At 41.3% G+C, this 26,658-nt stretch overlaps 1 long non-coding RNA gene across 1 annotated transcript, besides 1 other annotated feature; it reads right to left on the minus strand.

The window, feature by feature from the left end:
* Nucleotides 1-17,908: 17,908 nt before the first annotated feature.
* Nucleotides 17,909-21,729, minus strand: LOC124904257 (uncharacterized). The gene is made up of 2 exons (XR_007066302.1): nt 21,640-21,729; nt 17,909-18,062 (listed from the first exon to the last, which is right to left on the minus strand). It is a non-coding gene; the product is annotated as an uncharacterized LOC124904257 (long non-coding RNA).
* Nucleotides 22,470-23,293: an enhancer, noted in NCBI's record as "OCT4-NANOG hESC enhancer chr18:14025264-14026087 (GRCh37/hg19 assembly coordinates)". NCBI's record gives its function as "activates a minimal SCP1, AML or CMV promoter by ChIP-STARR-seq in naive H9 embryonic stem cells {active_cell/tissue: H9 hESC(naive)}" and the evidence as "EXISTENCE:reporter gene assay evidence [ECO:0000049][PMID:30033119]".

Here is a 26,658-nt window from a genome sequence, read left to right on the forward strand (position 1 = left end):
TACCCTTTATTTCTTTCTCCTGCCTAATTGCCCTGGCCAGAACTTCCAACACTATGTTGAATAGGAGTGGTGAGAGAGGGCATCCTTGTCTTGTGCCAGTTTTCAAAGGGAATGCTTCCAGTTTTTGCCCATTCACTATGATATTGGCTGTGGGTTTGTCATAAATAGCTCTTATTATTTTGAGACACGTCCCATCAATATCTAGTTTATTAAGAGTTTTTAGCATGAAGGGCTGTTGAATTTTGTCAGAGACCTTTTCTGCATCTATTGAGATAATCATGTGGTTTTTGTCTTTGGTTCTGTTTTTATGCTGGATTATGCTTATTGATTTGCATATGTTGAACCATCCTTGCATCCCAGGGATGAAGCCCACTTGATCATGGTGGATAAGTTTTTGATGTGCTGCTGGATTCAGTTGGCCAGTATTTTATTGAGGATTTCTGCATCGATGTTCATCAGGGATATTGGTCTAAAATTCTCTTTTTTTGTTGTGTCTCTGCCAGGCTTTGGTATTAGGATGATGCTGGCCTCATAAAATGAGTTAGGGAGGATTCCCTCTTTTTCTATTGATTGGAATGGTTTCAGAAAGAATGGTACCAGCTCCTCCTTGTACCTCTGGTAGAATTCGGCTGTGAATCCATCTGGTCCTGGACTTTTTTTGGTTGGTAAGCTATTAATTTTTGCCTCAATTTCAGAGCCTGTTATTGGTCTATTCAGAGTTTCAACTTCCTCCTGGTTTAGTCTTGGGAGGGTGTATGTGTCCAGGAATTTATCCATTTCTTCTAGATTTTCTAGTTTATTTGCGTAGAGGTGTTTGTAATATTCTCTGATGGTAGTTTGTATTTCTGTGGGATTGGTGGTGATATCCCCTTTATCATTTTTTATTGTGTCTATTTGATTCTTCTCTTTTCTTCTTTATTAGTCTTGCTAGTGGTCTATCAATTTTGTTGATCTTTTCAAACAACCAGCTCCTGGATTCATTGATTTTTTGAAGGGTTTTTTGTGTCTCTATCTCCTTCAGTTCTGCTCTGATCTTAGTTATTTCTTGCCTTCTGCTAGCTTTTGAATGTGTTTGCTCTTGCTTCTCTAGTTCTTTTAATTGTGATGTTAGGGTGTCAATTTTAGATCTTTCCTGCTTTCTCTTGTGGGCATTTAGTGCTATAAATTTCCCTCTACACACTGCTTTAAATGTGTCCCAGATTCTGGTATGTTGTGTCTTTGTTCTCGTTGGTTTCAAAGAACATCTTTATTTCTGCCTTCATTTCATTATGTACCCAGTAGTCATTCAGGAGCAGGTTGTTCAGTTTCCATGTAGTTGAGTGGTTTTGAGTGAGTTTCTTAATCCTGAGTTCTAGTTTGATTGCACTGTGGTCTGAGAGACAGTTTGTTATACTTTCTGTTCTTTTACATTTGCTGAGGAGTGCTTTACTTCCAACTATGTGGTCAATTTTGGAATAAGTGTGATGTGGTGCTGAGAAGAACGTATATTCTGTTGATTTGGGGTGGAGAGTTCTGTAGATGTCTATTAGGTCCACTTGGTGCAAAGCTGAGTTGAGTTCAATTCCTGGATATCCTTGTTAACTTTCTGTCTCATTGATCTGTCTAATGTTGACAGTGGGGTGTTAAAGTCTCCCATTATTATTGTGTGGGAGTCTAAGTCTCTTTGTAGGTCTCTAAGGACTTGGTTTATGAATCTGCTTACTCCTGTATTGGGTGCATATATATTTAGGATAGTTAGCTCTTCTTATTGAATTGATCCCTTTACCATCATGTAATGGCCTTCTTTGTCTCTTTTGATCTTTGTTGGTTTGAAGTCTGTTTTATCAGAGACTAGGATTGCAACCCCTGCCTTTTTTTGTTTTCCATTTGCTTGGTAGATCTTCCTCCATCCCTTTGTTTTGAGCCTATGTGTGTCTCTTGCACGTGAGATGGGTTTCCTGAATACTGATGGGTCTTGACTCTATCCAATTTGCCAGTCTGTGTCTTTTAATTGGAGCATTTAGCCCATTTACATTTGAGGTTAATATTGTTATGTGTGAATTTGATCCTGTCATTATGATGTTAGCTGGTGATTTTGCCCATTAGTTGATGCAGTTTCTTCCTAGCCTCGATGGTCTTTACAATTTGGGATGTTTTTTGCAGTGGCTGGTACTGGTTGTTCCTTTCCATGTTTAGTGCTTCCTTCAGGAGCTCTTGTAGGGCAGGCCTGCTGGTGACAAAATGTCTCAGCATTTGCTTGTCTGTAAAGTATTTTATTTCTCCTTCACTTATGAAGCTTAGTTTGGCTGGATATGAAATTCTGGGTTGAAAATTCTTTTCTTTAAGAATATTGAATATTGGCCCCCACTCCTCCTGGCTTGTAGAGTTTCTGCCGAGAGATCAGCTGTTAGTCCGATGGGCTTCCCTTTGTGGGTAACCCGACCTTTCTCTCTGGCTGCCCTTAACACTTTTTCCTTAATTTCAACTTTGGTGAATCTGACAATTATGTGTCTTGGAGTTGCTCTTCTCGAGGAGTATCTTTGTGGTGTTCTCTGTATTTCCTGAATTTGAATGTTGGCCTGCCTTGCTAGGTTGGGGAAGCTCTCCTGGGTAATATCCTGCAGAGTATTTTCCAACTTGGTTCCATTCTCCCTGTCACTTTCAGGTACACCAATCAGACGTAGATTTGGTCTTTTCACACAGTCCCATATTTCTTGGAGGCTTTGTTCGTTTCTTTTTATTCTTTTTTCTCTAAACTTCTCTTCTTGCTTCGCTTCATTCATTTGATCTTCAATCACTGATACCCTTTCTTCCAGTTGATCGAATCAGCTACTGAAGCTTGTGCATTCGTCACGTAGTTCTCGTGCCATGGTTTTCAGCTTCATCAGGTCATTTAAGGACTTCTCTACATTGGTTATTCTAGTTAGCCATTTGTCTAATCTTTTTTCAAGGTTTTTAACTTCTTTTCGATGGGTTTGAATTTCCTCCTTTATCTCGGAGAAGTTTGGTTGTCTGAAGCCTTCTTCTCTCAACTCTTCAAAGTCATTCTCCGTCCAGCTTTGTTCCATTGCTGGTGAGGAGCTGCGTTCCTTTGGAGGAGGAGAGGTGCTCGGATTTTTAGAATTTTCAGTTTTTCTGCTCTGTTTTTTCCCCATCTTTGTGGTTTTATCTACCTTTCGTCTTTGATGATGGTGACATATAGATGGGGTTTTGGTGTGGATGTCCTTTCTGTTTGTTAGTTTTCCTTCTAACAGTCAGGACCCTCAGCTGCAGGTCTGTTGGAGTTTGCTGGAGGTCCACTCCAGACCCTGTTTGTCTGGGTATCAGCTGTGGAGGCTGCAGAACAGCGAATATTGCTGAACAGCAAATGTTGCTGCCCGATCATTCCTCTGGAAGTTTCATCTCAGAGGGGTACCCGGCCGTGTGATGTGTTAGTCTGCCCCTATGGGGGGTGTCTCCCAGTTAGGCTACTCGGAGATCAGGGACCCACTTGAGGAGGCAGTCTGTCCATTCTCAGATCTCCAGCTGCATGCTGGGAGAACCACTACTCTCTTCAAAGCTGTCAGACAGGGACATTTAAGTCTGCAGAGGTTTCTGCTGCCTTTTGTTGGGCTATTCCCTGCCCCCAGAGGTGGAGTCTACAGAGGCAGGCAGGCCTCCTTGAGCTGCGGTGGGCTCCACCCAGTTCGAGCTTCCCTGCCCCTTTGTTTACCTACTCAAGCCTCAGCAATGGTGGGCACCCCTCCCCCAGCCTCACTGCCACCTTGCAGTTCGATCTCAGACTGCTGTGTTAGCAATGAGTGAGGCTCTGTGGGCGTGGTACCCTCCAAGCCAAGCATGGGATATAATCTCCTGTTGTGCTGTTTGCTAAGACCATTGGAAAAGTGCAGTATTAGGGTGGGAGTGACCCGATTTTCCAGGTGCCATCTGTAACAGCTTTGCTTGGCTAGGAAAGGGAATTCCCTGACCCCTTGCGCTTCCTGGGTGAGGCGATGCCTCTCCCTTCTTTGGCTCACACTCGGTGTGCTGCACCCACTGTCCTGCACCCACTGTCCGACTAGCCCCAGTGAGATGAACCCATTAACTCAGTTGGAAATGCAGAAATCACCCATCTTCTGTGTCGCTCACCCTGGGAGCTGTAGACTGGAGCTGTTCCTGTTCGGCCATCTTGGAACCCAGAGTAAACATTCTTATAGTTAAAGTGTTGTAACTGGCCAGGCATGGTGGCTTATACCTGTAATACCAGCACCTCAGGAGGCCGAGACAGGAGGATTGCTGGAGTCCAGGAGTTCAAGACCAGCCTAGCAACATATGAAGACCCTGTCTCTACAAAAAAGAAATCGGTGTATCTTCCTAATTATATATTTGTGATGAATTCCCAGAAATTAGAATTGAAATTACTAGTTCAAACAAAATCCACATTTGACGCTTTTTGATCTGGGTCGCCAAAGGGCCAGTAGAAAGGATTTTAGAGTGGATACAGCTTGGGTGGATGAAAGCTACGGCCAGCGTTAAATGTGTTGGATTAATATCCAATATATCCTAAGAGGTCCTTGTCTCTTAATGGGAGAGAAAATGATATCTCACTCTTCATTTGTAGAAAGGTGGACTTTTTTCTATTTTCTAGTAACAATTTGTATTTCTTTACAGGAAAATTTGCAGCTATGCAGCCTGCCTTTTTTTTTTGGCTGGAATGTTCATTTTATTACAGATTTGTAGGAGCTATTTGTTAAGAATATCAGACTTCTGTCAAGTATGCTACAAATGGCATTCTGAGTTTATAGTTCTCCTTTTATTTTTTGACACATAGTGTTAAACAATTTTATGTAGTAAACTCTATTAGGGTTTTTCTATGTATTTTGACCCTTAGGATGAGCTTATAAAGGTCTTCCTCATTCAAAATATTATGTATTTTTTATTTCTTCTTGAAATTTATGGCATCAAATTTTAAGTTAAAATTCATCTGAAATTTATTTTGATATTTGGCATGATTTTTATGCATAGAAAAGTACACAGGTAATATAAATATATTGTTAAAAGAATAATAATAAAACAAACACTCACGTTCTCACCAGCCAGCCTCAGAAATAGAACATAATAATTCATCTGTATATCTTCATGCTATGACATTCCCTTGATTTTTATTAGAGTTTTTCAAATGCATATGAATTCCTAGGCAATATATTGGCTCTTCCCCTTTTGTCCCTTTCTATTAGAATCATATAGTTATTATGTTTTTGTGATGAGTTTTATTTTGTGTTCAGTATTGGTTTCCTAGATCATCCATGTTAATGCATGTAGTTTGTTTTCATTGATAGTTAGTGGTCCATGTTTTATTTGTTTATTAAATAATATCAACTTTTACTTTAGATTCAGAGGGTACATATGCAGGTTTGTCACATGAGAATATTCTGTGACACTGAGGTTTGGGGTATGAAAGTTCTCATCACCCAAGTAGTAAGCATCCTACCCAATAGGCAGTTTTTCAGCCCTTGTCCCTCCTGCCTCTCTTCCCACCCAATAGTCCCCCGTGTCTATTGTTCCCATCTTTGTGTCCATGTTTAGCCAGAGTTTGGCTCCCACTTCTAAGTGAGAACATGTGTTGTTTGGTTTTCTGTTCCTGTGTTGCTTCACTTAGGATAATGGTCTCCCGCTGCATCCATGTTGCTGCAAAGGACATGATTTTGTTCTTTTATATGGCTTTTTATTCCATGGTGTATATGTACCACATTTTCCTTATGCAATCCACCATTGATGGGCACCTTGGTTAGTTCCATATCTTTGCTATTGCGAATAGTGCTGCAGTGAACACACGAGTGTATGCATCTTTTTGGTGAAATAATTTATTTTTCTTTGGGCATATACACAGTAATGGGATTGCTGGGTCTAATGGTAGTTCTGTTTTAAGTTCTTTTAAAAATCTCCACATTGATGTCCACAGTAGCTAAACTAGTTTGCATTCCCACCAGCAGTGTATATGCCTTCCCTTTTCTCTGTAGCCTCGCCAGCATCTGTTATTTTTAGACTTTTTAATAATAGCCATTCTGACTGGTATGAGATAGTACCTCATTGTGGTTTTCATTTGCATTTCTCTAATGATTAGTGATGTTGAGCATTTTTCATGTTTGTTGGCTGCTTTTATGTCTTTTAAAAAATGTCTGCTCATGTCCTTTGCCCACTTATTTATTCATTTATTTTTTGAGATAGGGTCTCAGTCTGTCATGCAGGCTGGAGTGCAGTGGTGTGATCACGGCTCATTGCAGCCTCGACCTCCAAGGCTCAAGAAATCCTCCTGCCACAGCCTCCCAAATAGTGGAGACTACAGGCATGCACCACGATGCCTATTGGATTAATAAAAATTGCAGAAACAGGGTCTTGCTATGATGCCCAGGTTGCTCTCAAACTCCTGCGCTCAAGCAATCCTCCTGCCTCTGCCTCCCAAAGTGCTGGGATTATAGGTATGAGCCACTTCATCCAGCCTTTTGCCCACTTTTTAATGGAATTATTTGTTTTATGCTTGTTGAATTGTTTTAAGTTCCTTATAGATTCTGGATGTTAGACCTTTGTTAGATGCATAGTTTGTGAATATTTTCTCCCCTTCTGTAGGTTGTCTGTTTACTCTGTTGATAGTTTCTTTAGCTGTGCAGAAGCTCTTTAATTTAGTTAGGTCCTACTTGTCAATTTTTGTTTCTGTTGCAACAGCTTTGGAGGATTTGGTCATAAATTCTTTGCCAAGCCAGATATCAAGAAGTGTATTTCCTAGATTTTCTTCTATGATTTTTATACTTTGAGGTCTTACATTTAAATCTTTAAGCCATGTTGAGTTAATTTTTGTATATGGTGAAAGGGAGGGGTACAGTTTCTTCTTCTGTATATGGCTAGCTGGTTATCCCAGCACCATTTATTGAACAGTAAGTCCATTTCCCATTGCTTATTTTTGTCAAGTTTGTCAAAGATCAGATGGTTGTGGGTGTGTGGCTTTTTGTTTGGGTTCTTTATTCTGCTCCATTGGTCTATGTGTCTGTTTTTGTACAAGTACCATGCTGTTTTGGTTACAATAGCCTTATAGTATGTTTTGAAGTTGGGTGATGTGATGCCTCCAGCTTTGTTCTTTTTGCTTAGGATTGCTTTGGCTATTTGCACTCCTTTTTGGTTCCATATGAATTTTAGAATTTTTTTTCTTTTTTTTTTTTTTTCTTTTTATTGATCATTCTTGGGTGTTTTTCATAGAGGGGGATTTGGCAGGGTCATAGGACAATAGTGGAGGGAAGGTCAGCAGATAAACAAGTGAACAAAGGTCTCTGGTTTTCCTAGGCAGAGGACCCTGCGGCCTTCCGCAGCGTTTGTGTCCCTGGGTACTTGAGATTAGGGAGTGGTGATGACTCTTAAGGAGCATGCTGCCTTCAAGCATCTGTTTAACAAAGCACATCTTGCACCGCCCTTAATCCATTTAACTCTGAGTGGACACAGCACATGTTTCAGAGAGCACAGGGTTGGGGGTAAGGTCACAGATCAACAGGATCCCAAGGCAGAAGAATTTTTCTTAGTACAGAACAAAATGAAAAGTCTCCCATGTCTACTTCTTTCTACACAGACGCGGCAACCATCCGATTTCTCAATCTTTTCCCCACCTTTCCCCCCTTTCTATTCCACAAAGCCGCCATTGTCATCCTGGCCCGTTCTCAATGAGCTGATGGGCACACCCCCCAGACGGGGTGGTGGCCGGGCAGAGGGGCTCCTCACTTCCCAGTAGGGGCGGCCGGGCAGAGGCACCCCTCACCTCCCGGATGAGGCGGCTGGCCAGGCGGGGGGCTGACCCCCCCACCTCCCTCCCAGACGGGGCGGCTGGCCGGGCAGAGGGGCTCCTCACCTCCCAGTAGGGGCGGCTGGACAGAGGCGCCCCTCACCTCCTGGATGGGGCAGCTGGCCGGGTGGGTGGCTGACCCCCCCACCTCCCTCCCGGACGGGGCGGCTGGCTGGGTGGGGGGCTGACCCCCCCACCTCCCTCCAGGACGGGGTGGCTGGCCGGGGGGGGGACTGACCCCCCAACCTCCCTCCCGGACGGGGCGACTGGCCGGGCAGAGGGGCTCCTCACTTCCCAGTAGGGGCGGCCGGGCAGAGGCGCCCCTCACCTCCTGGACGGGGCGGCTGGCCGGGTGGGGGGCTGACGCCCCCACCTCCCTCCCAGACGGGGCAGCTGGCCTGGCGGGGGGCTGACCCCCCCCAACTCCCTCCCGGACGGGGTGGCTGCCGGGCGGAGACTCTCCTCACTTCCCAGACGGGGTGGCTGCCGGGCGGAGCGGCTCCTCACTTCTCAGATGGGGCGGCTGCCGGGCTGAGGGTCTCCTCACTTCTCAGACGGGGCAGCCGGGCAGAGACGCTCCTCACCTCCCAGACGGGGTGGCGGCCGGGCAGAGGCGCTCCTCACATCCCAGACAGGGCGGCGGGGCAGAGGCGCTCCCCACATCCCAGACGATGGGCGGCCAGGCAGAGACGCTCCTCACTTCCTAGATGTGATGGCGGCTGGGAAGAGGCGCTCCTCACTTCCCAGATGGGATGGCGGCCGGGCGGAGACGCTCCTCACTTTCCAGACTGGGCAGCCAGGCAGAGGGGCTCCTCACATCCCAGACGATGGGCGGCCAGGCAGAGACGCTCCTCACTTCCCAGATGCGGTGGTGGCCGGGCAGAGGCTGCAATCTCGGCACTTCGGGAGGCCAAGGCAGGCGGCTGGGAGGTGGAGGTTGTAGCGAGCCGAGATCACGCCACTGCACTCCAGCCTGGGCGCCATTGAGCACTGAGTGAACCAGACTCCGTCTGCAATCCCGGCACCTCGGGAGGCCGAGGCTGGCGGATCACTCGTGGTTAGGAGCTGGAGACCAGCCCGGCCAACACAGCGAAACCCCGTCTCCACCAAAAAAATACGAAAACCAGTCAGGCGTGGCGGCGCGTGCCTGCAATTGCAGGCACTCAGCAGGCTGAGGCAGGAGAATCAGGCAGGGAGGTTGCAGTGAGCCGAGATGGCAGCAGTATAGTCCAGCTTCGGCTTGGCATGAGAGGGAGACCGTGGAAAGAGAGGGAGAGGGAGACCATGGGGAGAGGGAGACCATGGGGAGAAGGAGAGGGAGAGGGAGAGCAAGACCTATGGTTCTTACAGAACTCAGCAGAATTTTTTTTCTAATTCTGTGGAAAATGATGTTGGTAGTTTGATAGAAAGAGCATTTCATCTGTAGATTGCTTTGGGCAGTATGGTCATTTTAACAATATTGATCCTTCCAATCCATGCACATGGAAAGCTTTTTCATTTGTTTGAATCATCTATTTATTTCAGCAGGGTTTTGTGTCCAGGCTTTAAATATACCAAAATCTATCTGTTCTCTTGTTAATGGTTATTGGAATTGTTTCTGGCACTTTACTCTTATGGAAATAGTTCACATGTATTTGTTCTATGCCTTGGATAAGAATTAATGAAACATAGTGTATGTACATATCTAGCTGTACTATGTATGAGAGAGAAACAGTTGATATTCCCATTAACGGGGAATGGCAATTTTCATTATCCCACATCTGAGCCAAAATTTTATTGTCATTATTGTTTGCCAAACTGTGAATTGTGAGATAGTATTTCATTGTTGTTTTGATTTATGTTTCACTTATTACTAATGAGGTTGAACATCTTTTTAAATGTTCATTGGACATGCATATTTCATCTTCATAAAATGCCTATTAGGTTTTTTTTGCTATCTTTATTTTTTAAAAAATTTTAATTTGTGAAAGTTCTTTATGCTGGTTGCACGTATCATCTCCCACTTTGTAGCTTTTCTTTTTCTTCTTTTTAAGATGGCTTTTGAACAGGAGTTACTGAGTTTAATGTAATCATATTAATTAATCTTTTCCTTTATGATGTTTACTTTATATGACTTTTTAATGTTTGTATTCCCTTGTTATCATAAGAACATTCTGCTATGTATGCTTCTAAAGATTTCATAGTTTTTGTCCTTCACCTTCAATCTTTAATTTATGTGGCATTCATATTTATGCATTATGAGAGGTAAGATATATTCATGTTTGAAAATATTGAAATCCAATTGTTTAAAAGGTAACTGTTTGTTGAGAAATCAGCTCTTTCCCCAGGATTACTATCTTGCATTTCCATAGGAGACTGTGTCTGTTCCTGGCCCCTCTGCTCTGCTCCACTGGTCTCTATTTCTTGGTCCCTGTACAATCCACATTGGAGGATTACTATATCAGTGGAATCAACTTCTGCTTCCCTTACCTTTTTTATCTTGGAAAGGAAGTCCTCTATTTGTCCTTTTTCTTATGCTGGATTCACATTATGAGCTAGGCAGTGCCTGCTAGAATTTATTACATAGCACGACATATGAAGTTTTAAGTTCCCATATCCCCAAATGTGAGATGGCATATGAAGGGGTGGGAAGATGCTGCAGTAGATCCAGTATTTGAAAAGTTTGCTCCCAGATGGCTCCTTTTAGCCACTCTGAAAATAGAATATGTCAGAGATGAATAGGTTGCAGAAACCAGGGCCAGAATGTGCACCGCCTCTTTCAGCTGAATTAACACCTCTGTGCGACGTGGCTTTGGGTTTGAACCCTTCTCTGTGGTTTGATTATTCGATTCTGATTCTTGACATACATTGTGAGTGACCATTTCAGGAATATTAACTCCAGCTGTTACCCTAACAATGCAGGGCAGTAGGCTGTGACCGTGTCTCCCATGAGGGGTATGCATGGGCCGGGGTTTTATTAGACTTTGCAAAAAATGTAGGAAAACTTTAATGAACTCAAGAAAACAACATTTTTATTAGACTTTAGTTTTTAGAGCAGTTGTAGGTTCAGCACAAAATTGTGTGGAATGTAGAGAGATTTTCCTTATACTCCCTAACCCCAGATATGCACGCCTCCCCCACTATCAACATCCCCTACCAGAGAGGTACATTGTTACAATTGATAAGCCTACGTTGACACATCATTATCACCCAGAGTCACCTTAGTGCACATTCAGCTTCACTCTTGATGCTGTACATTCTGTGGATTGGACAAATGTATAAAGTGTTGTCTACCATTTTAACAGCATACAGAGTAGTTTCACTGCACTAAAAATCCTTTGCGCTCCACTTAGTCATCCCTTCCTTCCATCTATCCCTTGGCAACCACTGATCTTGTTACTCTTTCGATAGTTTCACCTTTTTCGGAATGTCTTACACAGGCATATCTCAGAGACACTGTGAGTTCAGTTCCAGACCACTGCAATAAAGCAAATATTGCAATACAGTGGGTCACAACAATTTTTTGGTTTCCGAGTCCATATAAAAGTTATGTTTGCACTGTACTGTAGCCTATTAAGGGTGCTACAGCATTATGTCTAAAAATATATATACCTTAATTTAAACATACTTTATTGCTAAAAAAATACTAATGATCATCAGAGCCTTAATCGAGTCTGGTTTATTTTGCTGGTGAAGGGTCTTGCCTCAGTGTTGATGGCTACTGATTGATCAGGGTGGTGGTTGCTGAAGGCTGAGGTGGCTGTGGCATTTCTGACAAAAAGACAATGAAGTTTGCCACATCAATTGACTCCTCCCTTCATGAAAGATTTCTCGATGACTGGACACATAAATGGGTTTTCTTCACCTCCTTAGGATGAATCTCAGGCAATAAGAAGTCTATCTTGGTCTTTATTCTTCTCCATCTTGTTTTTCATTCTTTTTTCTGGCTGGTTCCCCTAGCCTTTCTTCTTTCCTGCCTCTGATGTTGTTCTCTCTCTCAAAGTTGAGTACTGTTCCAGTTGTGCCAGTGTGAATGTTCAGTTGCCCACCAGTGGAACACCTGCCCAGAATGAACCATGGGTGAGGGCTGGCCACATTGCCAAAGGGAAGCTTAGAGCTCATGCTGGTGCTGATTTCTCCATCTGCTGCCTGTGGCCTTGCCGTGGTTCCCCAGGAAGCCAACATTTACACTCCATTGCTTCTCAAGATCTTTGCTAAACCTTTATTCATAGAAAACCTGAAAGTCAGTCAGCAGCTGGAATAGCATTTAGTCATTACAGAATTGTGCCTAACCACATTTCAGAAATTATCCTTCAGAATTCAAAGATTTAAACTTGGTGACTCAATGGCAAATAAAGTAACTGAACCAAAGTTTGTTACCTTATAATTTAGTGCACAGTCCCCAGTCAGTATAGTATAATCTTCCAGGAGAGCTGAGAGCTTTTCCTGGTTGATCTTGAAGCCACATTTGATGTATCTCTGTCACTTCAGACAGCAGTTCCTGCTTCCATCCATAAAAGCTCAGAAATTTGTGATCTCTGGCCCATTCAACAGAAGGAGAGGCATGCTTAGATTAGCTCCACACGTGCACAACAGCCAGATGTTTAGAAGAAGCAATCATATCCTCATATTCCGGACCAGAATGGAAAGCTCCTTTTACTTATTGCTGGCCTTGAGAGCCTCAAATAATGCCATTGCTGGCTATAGCTGCTACTTTTGGTCATACTGGTTGAACGTGTCTTCTTCTGTAAGGAAGTGACTACTAAGTGTTCCATAAAATTTATTTCACGGAGTAGTGCAAGATCTCCACTTTGCTCTTGCCGTAACGATCAAGTAATGAGAAGATAATCTGCCTAATTTACAAAGATTAATTCTACTAAAGTTTTCTCAATAATTAAAGCCACAAAACTAAAACCAAACAAAAATTGAAAAATAAAACCATACTTCCATCATTATTCTGTTTATTTCTATATTTAAACAATAAATCTTGTGACCAGAGCTCCTTTTTCAGCACATGCTATAATTTCAGTGTTTGTTGCCATAGTGATGGGCTGTCATGTCTGTTTATACTGTAAAGGAAACCATTGGATGCTGGTCTTTTACAACGTGGGAAGAAGTCTCCAGGCTCAAAAGATGCACATGTTACCCTACAAAAGTATATCCCATCTGTTCCAGGAAATACCTAATGTCTCTCAGTCACAGGTTTTATATACCAGTTTTATGGGCTTAATTTAATGTCAGCCTTCTACCAATAAATAGATCCACTTTTGTGTGCTGCCAGATTAGGTTGTTTTAAGTGTGTAAAACCGATCAATCCCATGATCAATTCCAAAAGTAAATGAACACCACCCTACAAGTCTTTTGGGGTCACATTCTACTATGCCTGATAGGTTGTTGGTTGAGAGTATTTTTTCCTAACCTGAAACACACAACTGGAGTGATGGCCTTTGGAAAACAACCTTGTAATTGGGGGAAATTTCAGAACTGCCTCAGATAATACATTCATGAAAAATAAAAGGCTGATTGTGCCTACTTTTACAACATTTAGGACATAAAAACTGGGGCAAATATCACAGCCAGAAAGTCCCCTGCCTGACAGTGGACAAGCTTTATTCATTACTCATTTCTGAATTACCACATTTACCAGGATATTTGTCTAATTGCATGATTGACAAAGAACTATATTTTGTAAACTTTTAATGGGTTTGATCCTATTCTACCAAAGTAAGAAGGCTATATTTGGAGATTAACCCTTGTGTGGGCTTCTGTTTTTCTGCTTTTCTTTTTATCACTTCTTTGGATATGGCCCTTCCTGTAGTTAGTAAGATGTTTACCATTGCGCACAGAACATAGTAACTTTTAACCATTAGTATTGTAATTAAATCTTTGGGAAGATAAAAAAGATGGAATTCTGGAGATACAGTTCCAGACCTTGATTCAAGTACCGTAGACAATTTCTATGGATTCTACCTTAGTCCCTTTATGATGCTATCACAGAATACCTGAGACCAGTTAATTTATAAAGAACAAAAATTTGTTCCTCACCACTCTTGAGGATGGGAAGTCCAAAATCAAGAAGCCGGCATTTGATCTAGTGAGGGCCTTCTTGCTGCATCCTCACACAGTGGAAGGTGGCAGGGCAAGGCAGCCAAACACTGTGTGAAGCCTCTTGTATTATGAGAGATTAAACCCCTTCACGAGGGAAGCGGCCCTCATACCTAATCACCTCTTAAAGGCCCTGCCACTCAATACTCTCACATTGGCAACACCTAAATTTTGGAGAGGGCACATCAAACCACAGCACTACCTTCAGATGAAGGCTGTGTGGTGTGTGTTGCTTTCTGTCCCCTACTGGCATTCAGAATTCCCTTTCCCTGTGCACAGAGATTACTGCCAGGGGCTTGTTTGGAAATTCCTAAGAATACTGATGTCCACGCCTGCATTTAAAGCACGTGCAGGCATCACCAATCACCCTCAACTCCTATTGCTCTCCCATGAATTCACAATTGCTTCTGTTTTCAACTGCAGAGTTTTATGTATAATTAATATGCATGCTGAAGAGTTTAGTTCTAATGATCTAGGAAAGAGTATCATCATGATTTATTCTGGAGAAAGGAAATAAAATGTCTTAAATTGTTGCTACTAATTAATGGGTGCTGAGAACACTGGCTCATGCCTGTAATGTCAGCACTTTGGGAAGCTGAGGTGGGAGGATCACTTGATCCTAGGAGTTCAAGACCATCCTGGGGAACATGGTGAGACCCCCTCTCTACAAATTTTTTTTTTTTATTAGCCAGGCATGGTGGCACGTGTCTGTGGTCCCAGCTACTTGGGAGGCTGAGGTGGGAGGATCACCTGAGCCCAGGAGTTTGCAGTTAGCTGTGATTGTACCTCTGAGCCTGGGTGACAGAGTGAGGTCCTGTCTCAAAAAAAAAAAAAAAAAAAAAAGACATAATCTCGTAAAGACTTTATATGGAATAATGAGCATTGAACATAAATGTGATTAGGCACAACCAGGCAGCTTTACCTGACTGCACACCAGTGACTCTCACACTCGCGGGTGTGTTTCCCATTGTGGCTTATTAGTTTTCATTTCGGTGTACTTGTCTCTTATTTCTTTTCTTATACCTTAGACAAAGGTATACAAGTTTATTGCAGATACTTTGGAACTTACAAAAAATATATAAAGGAGAAAATTTTAAAAAATTATCTGCAGAGACAGCCATTATTAACATTTTGTTATTCTTTTCTTAGTCTTTTTTAAAGAAACAAACATATGCTTGTGTGTATGTATATATGTTGTTTTTATAAAATTGTTACTTAGTTTTGGCTGGGCGCAGTGGCTCACGCCTGTAATCCCAGCACTTTGGGAGGCTGAGGTGGGCGGATCACGAGGTCAGGATATCGAGACCATCCTGGTTAACACAGTGAAACCCCATCTCTACTAAAAATGCAAAAAATTAGCCGGGCGTGGTGGCGGGTGCCTGTTGTCCCAGCTACTTGGGAGGCTGAGGCAGGAGAATGGCGTGAACCCGGGAGGTGGAGCTTGCAGTGAGCCGAGATCACACCACTGCACTTCAGCCTGGGCAACAGAGCGAGACTCCGTCTCAAAAAAAAAAAAAATATGTTACTTAGTTTTCATACATACAGTTTGTATTTTATCTATTCTTTTCAACTACAACAATTTTATAAGAAGAATTTTTTTTAAAAAAATAACCAAAAGGTTCCCAGCATTGTCTCCACAATGGGTAGCCAGGTGCATCAAGGTGGGAGTGACTCAGCTCTCAGCACCTCTATTTGGAAGTTGCAGAGGATCAACTTCATGGGTCATGGAGGCTGAGTTTATGTGGGAGAGTTTGAGAGGCATCAAAGGCCTTCCTGCCCCCAAATATCTTCCTTGAATAGTTACTGTGATTCGGGGTGTTCCTATTATCTTATTCCCCAATAAGCAGTGTGTCACAACTTACTTTTGCCCCTGTATTAGTGGCATGTGAAGTGCAGGGCAGGGAGGGTGTTGGAAGATGAATATGAGGTCCCACCAGAATGCCAGTCAGCTCACCACCCTATCCACAGAGAGGAGCTGACAGGACACGATGCCTTCTGCTCTTGACTAAATGTGGGAGGGAATAATAAAAATAGCAACTATGATCAAACCGCAGCCACTCAGTGAATGACTGCTCAGCCTGCCATGAGAGAAAAGGGGCAGCAAGTACCTGACCTGACCTTTCTTCCGTGAAGTGCTTCGGCTGCTCAGGGGAAATGTGCTCAAACGTGTTTTTGAAATGGGAGATGAGATGTATTGTTTGAAGACCCTGATAAGGCCAGTAAAGACACTGCTGTGATTTGAATGACACATCTCAGAGGTTTATATAGGACCTCAAACAGCATTTCACAGCTAAACAGTCATATTTATTGGTGAGGTTTAGATGCCACAATTTCTTAAGAAAGCTGAACTGAAGAGAGAAGGACCCTTTCCATGTCTTGACTGTGCATAGCAAGATGATTTTTTCTCATGCCTTAGCAAAAAATAATTCTGCACTCTCAGTATATTTAAAAAGCACATACAGAAGCTTCTATCTTCATATTTGGAATGTAGAGCCTTTGAGGATGAGATAGTCATGGAGTTATCATCTGAAAAACAAATTGCCTTCCGGTGAGAAATCTGAGATTTCTGGGTCCAAGTTTTATTGGAATGTCTACAACAATCTGACACAACCAGAGAGTACTTGATGCTATTTCTGATTATTTGTAGTTTGAATTAGGACTTTATAATTTAGCAGAAATCAAGAATGAGAAAGGAATCAATTGGGTTTGGAATCTGATCATTTACCTGGATATAAATGCCTTAGTGAACCATTACAATAACACCACTCATTTTGCTGAGATGAAATCATAATGAGTACTTTTTAAAATTTTTTGTGTCACTTAAAATTTCTGATCAACATATTTTAAATTTTACTCAAATCTGTGGTAAGCACGTGTAACGGTGTCCATTATGTGGTCTACACCAACCAGAAAGCTTGCTGAGAGGAGGATATTGGACAGGGCTTCCTTGAGTGGAAGGGTAAGAAGAGAAAAGTGACCAACCTCAGGATTTTACCTAAATCAAAGTTAAGATTTTAATATGGTCACCCATGAAAGTCCCTGGCTGAAATCCGGCAAGTTGAAGTGAAGGAGGGGAACCAAGATGGTGAGCACAGGGCAGGGAGGGGAGAGTGGGGGTTTAAGTGACGGGAGGAAAAAAGACCATTCTGTCTAACAGTCACAGTAAAAGGATAGGTTATTTAGTTCTAGTCTTCTACTTTTTCTTCTGAAATTTAAGGAAATACTAAGAAATGTCAAGTATTTTGGGAATAGCCATCTTGGATTTTACTATATTCCTCATTATTTTAAACTTAAATCTTCTTGAACCTAGTAACTTAAATACATCTTCAGTTATCTCCGTCATCCTTGGGGTCCAAGTACACAGAAGGCAGGTGTTGGGGCATTTGCATCTCTAGACTTTTAAAGACGGTGATAGATGCCTGACCTTGTACAGAAGAGGAGCTTCCATGGTGGGGAGGGGGGGTGCGGTTTGTCTTGCCTTCTTACTAAGTGTTTGAATTTGTGTTTCCCATTTATTTCACTTTTATAAAGAATCTCAAAGGAACCCTAAGGTTTTCTTTATTATCGTGCATATGGCTTTCTAGCTCTGGCTCATCCTATAACATTTCCAAGAAGCCCTGAAAACTTGGGTGTGCAACCATGCTGCCCCCTCAACTGTAGGAACCACCGATCCCCTGGGTGTAGTACAGACTTCCTAATCTTTAGAGATATTTCTCTCCCTTCCTGCCTGTCTTCCTAAAACATTGGAGTACCTGCTGGGTGCCAAGAACCTGCTTGATGCTGAGGATAAAGTGGTTCACGGTATAAATTACTGCAGGACTGGGTGAAAAATGCTTTTCAAAAGCCATGAGGGGTATGAAACAAGTCCTTCAATATATTTGTTAATGTTCGTATTACTTAAATTTACTCAATATGGAAATGGCAATCGTAGCCTAGTTTTAATTAATCCTTTCAGACATTTTCACAAGGTCATCTCATTCCTCTCTTAATGATTCCAAAAATCTTGCATTGTATTAAGAAGCTGAAAACAGAAAAAAAGTATTTCTTGCAGTTTCATCTTTATTGAATTCTTACAGGATAGCATGAGAATAAATGCGCCTCAAATATCATGTGGTTACAGATCAGGGTGGCCTGCTCCGTGTCCTTGGCTTCTTTCGCTTACATCAGCCTGGTCATCTCACCTTCCGAGTTCTGACTTAATATCAGAGAAAAGGAAGCTTTAGTGGGTATTCAGAATAATAACAGAATATGAACTCCTCAGCAAGCATGCTGATAAGTACACCTTGCAACAAGTTACATTTTCACTGTTTCCTGCCTAAATTGTATGTCATGATAAAATTTGCATAACATTTTGCACTTTCTTAGAAATAATTAATAAAAATTTACAATAATAAAAATCATAGAGATATGTTAAAATGCCACTTTTCTAACACAAAATACGGCTGTCATACAAAAATTAGAGAAGGAAAATAAACGAACAAACAAAAAAGAAAACTCATAAATTTATCAACCAGAGATAAACACTGAAGCTATCTCTCCATTTATTCTATTTTTATATGAAACTCTATCTATATATTGGACCCATTTTTCCATTGTTCACCATCATTCTATGGCTGCATAGCATCTCATGTTTTACCATTTATTAACCAATCCCTTATTGTTGCCCATATGCTTTGTTTCTCGTTTTCCACCAGTATTACAGGCAGTGATTTGGTTGAAAAATAAACTTCTGTGCTATTGTGCCTTTGAGTTTGTAAAGAAAATGAAGGACTGACTGAAAACAATTTCACAACATTAAAAAAGGAACTCCCTTAGTTTTCTTTGGATTGCACAAAACAAAAATTTCAGCAGTTTGTCAAAGAGCTCTGGGGGAGCAAGTAACATGAGGTTTTCATTCTGGCCCAAAAGCTTGGAGTATTGTCGTAAGTAATTTATGCTATTACAAAAATAAGTTGAATAATAGTTTCATTATATTATTTAATAGCATGTATTGCATGACTCTCATGATTAGTATACATAGTACTGATGTGAATGATACTCATGAATATTTTAGAAACTTGTTATAAAACCTTTATTGACTGTCTTTATGTTCATCAACATCTAAATTATTTTAGATTCAGACCTGAAAGGATGCACACCAAAAAGAGACTAACACTTACTGAGCACTCACTGTGTACCAGGCACATAGGTGGCAGTTGGTTAACCAGAGGAATTACTGTGTGCCTACATTTGACTCTGTTAATAAGAACTGTTGAATCAAGCTTCTAATAGTATCTACTTAGAAATAGCATTCTCCTCTCTTTTAAATAATTAAATGATTGTCACAATGAAATGAAGGCAAGCAAAGCCATCACTATTTTATGTGAGAAGAAACAAAACATTAATCATTTAACTCTCTCTAGATAGAATAAAAGCATTCTGACAAACATATTAAACCCTTGAGCTCCAGAATAATAGCAAAAGCAAGATAACAATTGCCAAAACTGGGGGGAACAAACATAAAACAGAGTTTTTCCAAATATTTTCCTCTTTAAATATTTTCCCTAATCATTTGAGAGGTTTTCTTCTCTAAATATTTCTAAATGAATGTATTTTAATGTGGATTCATAAGTTTGCATTAAACAAATTCACAACATACACTAGTAATTTCCCAATGCTAATAAGGGCGTATTTGATGACTGTGACCCAAAACATTGAGTGATAATGAAATACTTCATTTTTGACTTATGTTTGTGTTTCAGAGTGGCATGCCAAAATTCTGTTTCTAGGAAGAAATCAAAAGCAATGTCTCTAAAATCATGCTTTACCAGGAAGAATGACTTAAAAATAATAATCAGGCATTTTCTAACTTTTCCAGTCTGTGCAACTGTCATGCTTTGCTGTGGGGAAACTGCTAGTTCTAACAGAAGCATAATCAAGAAGTTCTCAACAGTGTCTTTACAGTTTGAAATGTCTCCAAAGCTGATTATATACATGTGAACATGCCTAATATATTTTCACGGTCCCAGAAGGCAAGCCTTATAGCTTTACAAATAAATGTATGTATAAAGTGGAAATCTTCATTTTTAGTTTGTTAAAAACCATGATAATTATTTTAACTAAAATAATGCAGCATTGTAAAATTACCCTATTGAATGTCTTGATTTTTTAACCTGTTTCCCTGGTAGTAAATGAGGATGATTGAAAATCCAAATTGTTATGCATCTGGGTGCTACTCAGGCTTACAGAGCAAGAAGCTTGATGAAGATGATTTAAACACAAAGAGAATTCTGGAAAGCAAATGAAATGGACTAATTTCTAAATTGATGAAAATGTAGTGTTTGATTTTATTTTTCCGGTCTGGGTAAAGGTAGTTTTGATTTAAAGAGAATGGCCAGTAGCCCTATTCAGAGTTTAGAACCTTCTGGCTGGACAAGATGACTTTTATACCCAGGGCACTGCTGCACATGCTGCCTTCAATAGATTTTGAAGGTGGGAGTGAGAAAATGATAAAGACATAATCTGAAATAGCATAGACTGGGGACGTGATTGAAAATCTAATTTGTTACACATCTGGTTGCCACTGGAGGCTTAGAGAGCAAGGAGCTTGACAAAGCTGATCACTGCTGGTTCTTAATGTCCCCTGGCAAAAGCATCTTCCGAGGGATGCTTCGCTTTCTCCTGTTTTCTTTGTCCTGCTTTCAAAAGTGCCTCTAGGTTTCCCTGAGCAGTCTAGAGGCAGGATAGTTCCAGAATTGCCTAGTCCATTAGATCCACAGTCTCCTCATGGACTCGATTCTTTCCATCCTGCCAATGTGTTTGCTTGACCTACAGCAGGTTCCTGGTGGCGAAGACAGCTGCCAAACTTCCAGCAGGGCTGCCTGCAATGGCTGTGTCCAGAGACAGAGGAGGGGCTATCCTCTCAGTATCTCTTTCTTTAGGACAAGGACACGTTTTCAAGAAGCCTCCCATAGACATACACTCACATCCCATTGGTGCCTACTAATTAGATTCTATATTTGAGCTGGAAACTGACTTTTTCCAAAGAGGAGGTTACTCCTTGAGTAAACAGGAGTTCTAATAGGTGAATTGCCGGGCAATCCAGAGAGACCATTACAGGAGAGTCACAGGGTGAAAGGCTGCTACTCTTAGAAGTGAGGTAGACAAAGCCTGTTTGACCAAAAGATACACTTTTCATACCAGATTTCTCTGACTTCTTCAATCTGGAGTCGGGAGAAGAACTTAAAAAACTACCCTTGACTACTGGATCCCTTTCTGCAGAGATTCTGATTCCATTTATCTGGGGCATGGCTGGAGCATCAGTGTTTTTGTTTTGTTTTGTTTTGTTTTTTTAGCAACTCCCATGTGATCAAATCATAGGTGAAGATTCAGAATGACCAGTGAGGGCACAACCCCTTGCTATAGAATAAGAGGTGGCAGAAATGAAGATTGCTTCTTGCTGTTCAGAAAGTTGCTTGAGACATGGAAAATGAAAAAGCAGGGAGATGGCGAGGGTTTGGTGAAGAGTACAAATGAGCACAGGGTGGATCCTCCCTGTGTTCTGAAGGCACAGAATCGGGAAACTTTATAATAAGCTAAAAGGGATGTGAGTCAAGGAAGGGCAGAGTCAGGGGACTGCCACAGTTCAGAGCTGCAAACATTTCAGGGCAGCCACTGGCTCAGGCTGAGATGTTTAAGTATCCTGTAACAATTAAAGAAGTCAAGGGAAGAGACCAAGAGAGGGACAGTTACTTGGAGAGATGCATTTTGTAAATGTGGACAGCCCTACTTACAAGAGGCATGGAAGCTCCGATCTAGACACAGGTTCACAATCAGCCCAGTCTGCATCTGCAATGACATTGCATCTGCATCTGCATTGCACATCAGTCCATCTGCAATGACAACACAGGGCTTAGAGGCAGAGTGAAACACATATGCCTTCAATACATTCAGTGGGCACTAAAGGGAGAAATGAGTTCCAGGAGCGCCAGCAGAGCACATAGCTAAATTCTACAGGAACTTAGAAAGGTTCCAGGTGCCAGCTCCAGGAACAATACACCTTAGGAAGGGAGACAGCTCCATTGCATTGACGTCCAGAGTTGGGGATTCTGGGCATCTGACATTCTTATACAGGTGCACAGAAAACTGTTTTCTTTTCACTCTTCTTCTTTCTCATGAATTCTAAGTCTACACTGATTTAAGGTTGATGGCAGTTACCTTGTGGTAAGATAGTTATGGGCACAAAAATTGGAGGACAAGAGTAGGAGGTGAGGGGAACCCCTTTATAAACTGCTGTGCTATCTGGAAAGCTCCTGTCCTTATATTTCAAGCCTATGAGGCTGATGTCGCTTTAGAATTTGGGAGGGTAGTGAACAGATTATACTGAGGACTGGCTTAATCTAACTTTGGGATGAAGGCACTTGTTCCTGTGAAAGGCATCTTAGGCAGATACTTCCAGGGAAGATGCCAAAAAGAGGCTTGAATGAAATGATGACAAAATGAGATTAATATAGACTAATAATAAAAATTAGCATTTAAAAACTTAATTTTACTTTAAGATATTCTGGATACCAATCTCTGTTTTTAAGAATTTTAATTAGCAGACTCTGTTTTCCTGTGGCAACAGTGGGAGGGATTTTTGTTATTGGGATTTTAATGGCTCTGTGAATATTTAATTACTCTGGGAGAACTGAATAATGGGAGGGGCCTTTGTGGTGATTTAGTTAAATGTAGCTGGGCATAACTTCAAAGGGGAGTGGCATGGAGGAAGTGGCCTGGAATGACCCTAAATAACAACACCTGTGCTTGGCCTCATTGGCCCTGGCTGGCTCCCAGAGAGTGCTGGGCTGGATGAGGAACCAGCAGTTAGGAGGCAGGGTCAGGCCTTCCCTGGACATCAGCATTTCCTACCCTAAAGGGAACACCCACAAGGGAGGTAAACATAGGCTTGGCTAATAAGTTCACTGGTTGACAGAATTCAAGAGGACAATGGGCCTTTAGGGGAAGGCATGTTCTCAAACTCTTCTCCCCAAGAGACAGAATACTCATTAGATAGCACTGGTCTCACAGTGCTAGGGCAATAATAGTCCTATGGTAAGGGTCTTACAAGGACACACAGGTGACATCCCAGGGCTCTCCTCTTTTGTTCTCTTTCTTGGGCCTGTATAGAGCCAGCTGCTCCCTGTGGCTTTTGCACTTTGCATTTGTATATTCTCAGGGCTTTTTACCTAGAGGTGTGTTTGTAGGTGGAGGTAGGGAGATTCTCTTAAAGCTTGGGTTTAAGCCCCGTGCTTTAGTCCAACCACCAGAGTTCTCGGAAGTGAGGTTTCAGTTACAAGGTTGGTTAATAATAAAATGCCACTTAATTTCCCCATTTTCCATTGTCTCCTGATTCCTAGATCTCCCTGGGAAACCTCCTGCAAAGGACAGGGCCAAGACGGATTGGGCACTTCTTGGTCTTCTTGTCAAATACCATATAGTACCCCCTCACCCTGCCTCATGTTTTCTACATTGCACCCAGTGCCATGGTATTTCTGAATGTGTGTGCGTGGGACCTAGCATTTCCTATACTGCCCCTATTTCCCAGACTGCGGGTCCCCTCCTGGTTTCTCATGCTTCTCATTCCAGGCTGAAACTCATGTTCAATTTTCACCACAGTTTAATGAACATTTCATAACCACCTCCACCCTTGTTTATCTTCTGCCACATTTGTCTTACTCATCCAATCGCACACTTATGCCAGGGGAAAGTGGGGAGGGAGTCCTGCTGGGCTGCAGGAGGTCTGTATTATTCAGCAACTGCATAACAAACAGCTCAATGCAGTGGCTTCAACAACAGCTGCTTGTCTCTCTCACTCACGACACAATGTCTCTTGTTCCTTTCCTTGATTGCACTGAGTTTTTCTGGGAATATCTAAGTCTTGACTGAGTTGTTCACACGTTTGCACTTTCCAGCCTCAGATGGTCAGCTCAATCCTCTTTTGGAAGTATTCATGTTCTGCCTAGTTGACAGTCTTCAGCACTCCAGCACCATCACACTCTCCCTCAAATGCCATGCTCTTTGCCTGATATTAGGAAACTTTGAAATATTTAATTCTATCAAATAACTTGGAAGCAATTTTACTTGAAGTTTATAACAACATATTATAACAAATGCAATCTAATTTAGCATCCACAGTCAGATGTTCCATAAAAAAGGAAAGATATCAACTAAGAACAATTAGTTATTTTGGAGGAGTCTGTGCTTTGCTTCTTCTATTGTTTTCTTATCTTCCCATGCTTGCCAATGGGCAAGTTGCAGCTGGTACCCATGGCTTCACTTATTGGAGAAACTTGGAGTTGCAAAAGTTATAAATAACAACTGGATGTTTTTCTGTAAATGGAGAAGAGACCACCCATTTTCAGTTTTAGCAGAGGCAGCTTTGATGCATCTCATGGAACACTAATGTCCTACAAGTGCATCAAAACTTCTCCTGCACAGTCCCCATAAAGCTGCTCCATACTTGTCTCCTACTCACCAAACTCCTCAACTCACACACATTCTTTCATTATCAACCTCACCTTATCAATGAGAAAATAAAGGTCAGGTTTGATTCCTTTCAATTCTCATTTCCTTCACCCAAATTTCTATGTTTATTTACTTTTATTATAAAACTAATATGTGAATACGTATTTGTAAAGATTTCACAAAATAAGTAAGAACATAGTAAAATATGTTCCCCCCACTGGGAGAGAATATCTTTTCCCCCTTCTTCCTCAGTAATTGAATCCCCAAATTTATGTTAGTCATGTAGCCACTCAGAGACTTTTTCCCCAAGCTTTCCTTATAGCTGGTGACTAAATTCTGGCCAGGGGATTTAAATGGAAGTGGTGTGTGCAACCCCTAGGAAGTTATCAGAATGGGAGGGGAGATGTCTTTCCCTCCCTATTTCTCCTTTCTGTTGTCTAGCATGTATATGTGGTGACTGGAATTGAAGTAGTCATTCTGGACCACAAGGTAAAATTGAGAATGGAGATTTCACATGCTGAGCAACAAGATTAAAAGACTATGAGTTCCCTTACCATTGAGTTTACCACAACAGATTCAAACAGTCTATCTGTAATTTTATGTAAGAGAAAAAATAAATTTTTATGTCATGTAAGCTACAGTTTTTGATTATTGTTATTATTTTTTGCATCTGAATGACATTTCACCTATTCTCCCTTATTCAATCTTGAACTTCACCTTTGGTCCTCTTCTCAGAAGGAAACTGTCAACAGTTTGATGTGTACCTTCTTAGTCCTTTCTATGAATTTTACTCATATATGTACATACACCCACATATAAATATCTGTGGGTTGGGTATACTTTTATTCTAAAATAGATCAAGGTATTTTCCTTCTTCCTCTAATTTATGGAGAATGAATTTCTCTTCTTATTTCTAAGGATAAGTCTTCCACTTGTCTGTGCCCACTTTCTTTTGCATCCCTCTGCTTTACCTGTGACAATGGTACATTATCTTGGTTGGCTGCTCTTTGAACCACTTATGCACATTAGAAAAATATACTTCTGGTCTCTGCCATGCTACTTTCAAAGTTACATTTACATATAACTTAGAATCAAATTACATGGATTAGGAAACTCCTTGGCTTGCTTTCCCCAAGCTTTTTCTTCAAATAGTGCCCTGAGAAAATAGAGTTTTCAATATGATCCCCAACTCTTTAACTCATTCAAGAAATATAAATTTTTCTTGTCAAAATTCTCTTCTAAAATAAAGAGATCAGAAGATTCTGGGAAAATGGCAGGATAGGAAGCTCCAGGAATCTCTCTCCCAACTTAGACAACAATTACACTGGCAGAATCTGTCTGATGTAACTATTTTGGAACTCTTGAGTTTCTTGAAGGCTTGTAATTTGCGGGAGAAGGCTTGGAACACAAACTCTAGCTGATTTCAGTCAATTGTATCCTTTAGCACAGTAACAGCTATACATACCCCACCCTCAGCCCCATGGCAGGCAGCTGTGCATTTTTTTCCTGGAACAGCTTACATACATCTTGAGGGAGCCAAGGTGGGAAAAAAGAATGCTGTCATCTAAATATAAGGGATCTGTGCTCTGATCACTGATTGCTACATGTGATCACAAAGGTACAGTGATGTAGTGGCCATGTTGTTCTACTTTCCTTCATTGATGCAAGTCCCCCTTTCTCTGGCTGAAGTAATTTCCAGGGGATCTAAAGAGTTGACATCCTTTTTATCTCAGTCCTCCTTAATTTTTCCACTTTTTTTCCTTTTCAGAGACAAGCATTAAAGACTAGGACATTCAAAAACACTTTCAAATATGGGGAAAATTAGAAAGTGACTGTGCATGTCCAGGGAAAGGCATAGGCTGAAAAAAGACTTGAGAAGACCTAAGTTTACACCCCAGGATTATCCTTGGCACAGGGCCAGTTCATAATAATCAAAAAATCAAAAACAAAAAAAACCAATAACAACACTAGCAAATTGTGAGAGAGAGGAAAAATCTGATTTCCAGAGTTACCATATTACTAGATTCAAATGTCCAATTTTAACCAAAAAAAAAAAAAAAAAAATCACAAGGATACAAATAAATAAGAATGTATGTCCCTATCAAAGAAGAAAAAAATGAATCAACAGAAACTATTCCTGAAAAAGAGTTGGTGGCAGATATACTAAATACATACTTGAAAAGAATTTCCTTAGAGAAAGGATGATATGAAGAAATTAAGAAAACGATATATGAACAAATGGAAATATCAATAAAGAGACAGCAAACCTACAGAGAAACCAAAAGGAAATTCTGGAGCTGAAAAGT

This window comes from Homo sapiens, chromosome 18 (genome assembly GCF_000001405.40).
Source record: "Homo sapiens chromosome 18, GRCh38.p14 Primary Assembly".
Lineage (NCBI taxonomy): Eukaryota > Metazoa > Chordata > Mammalia > Primates > Hominidae > Homo > Homo sapiens.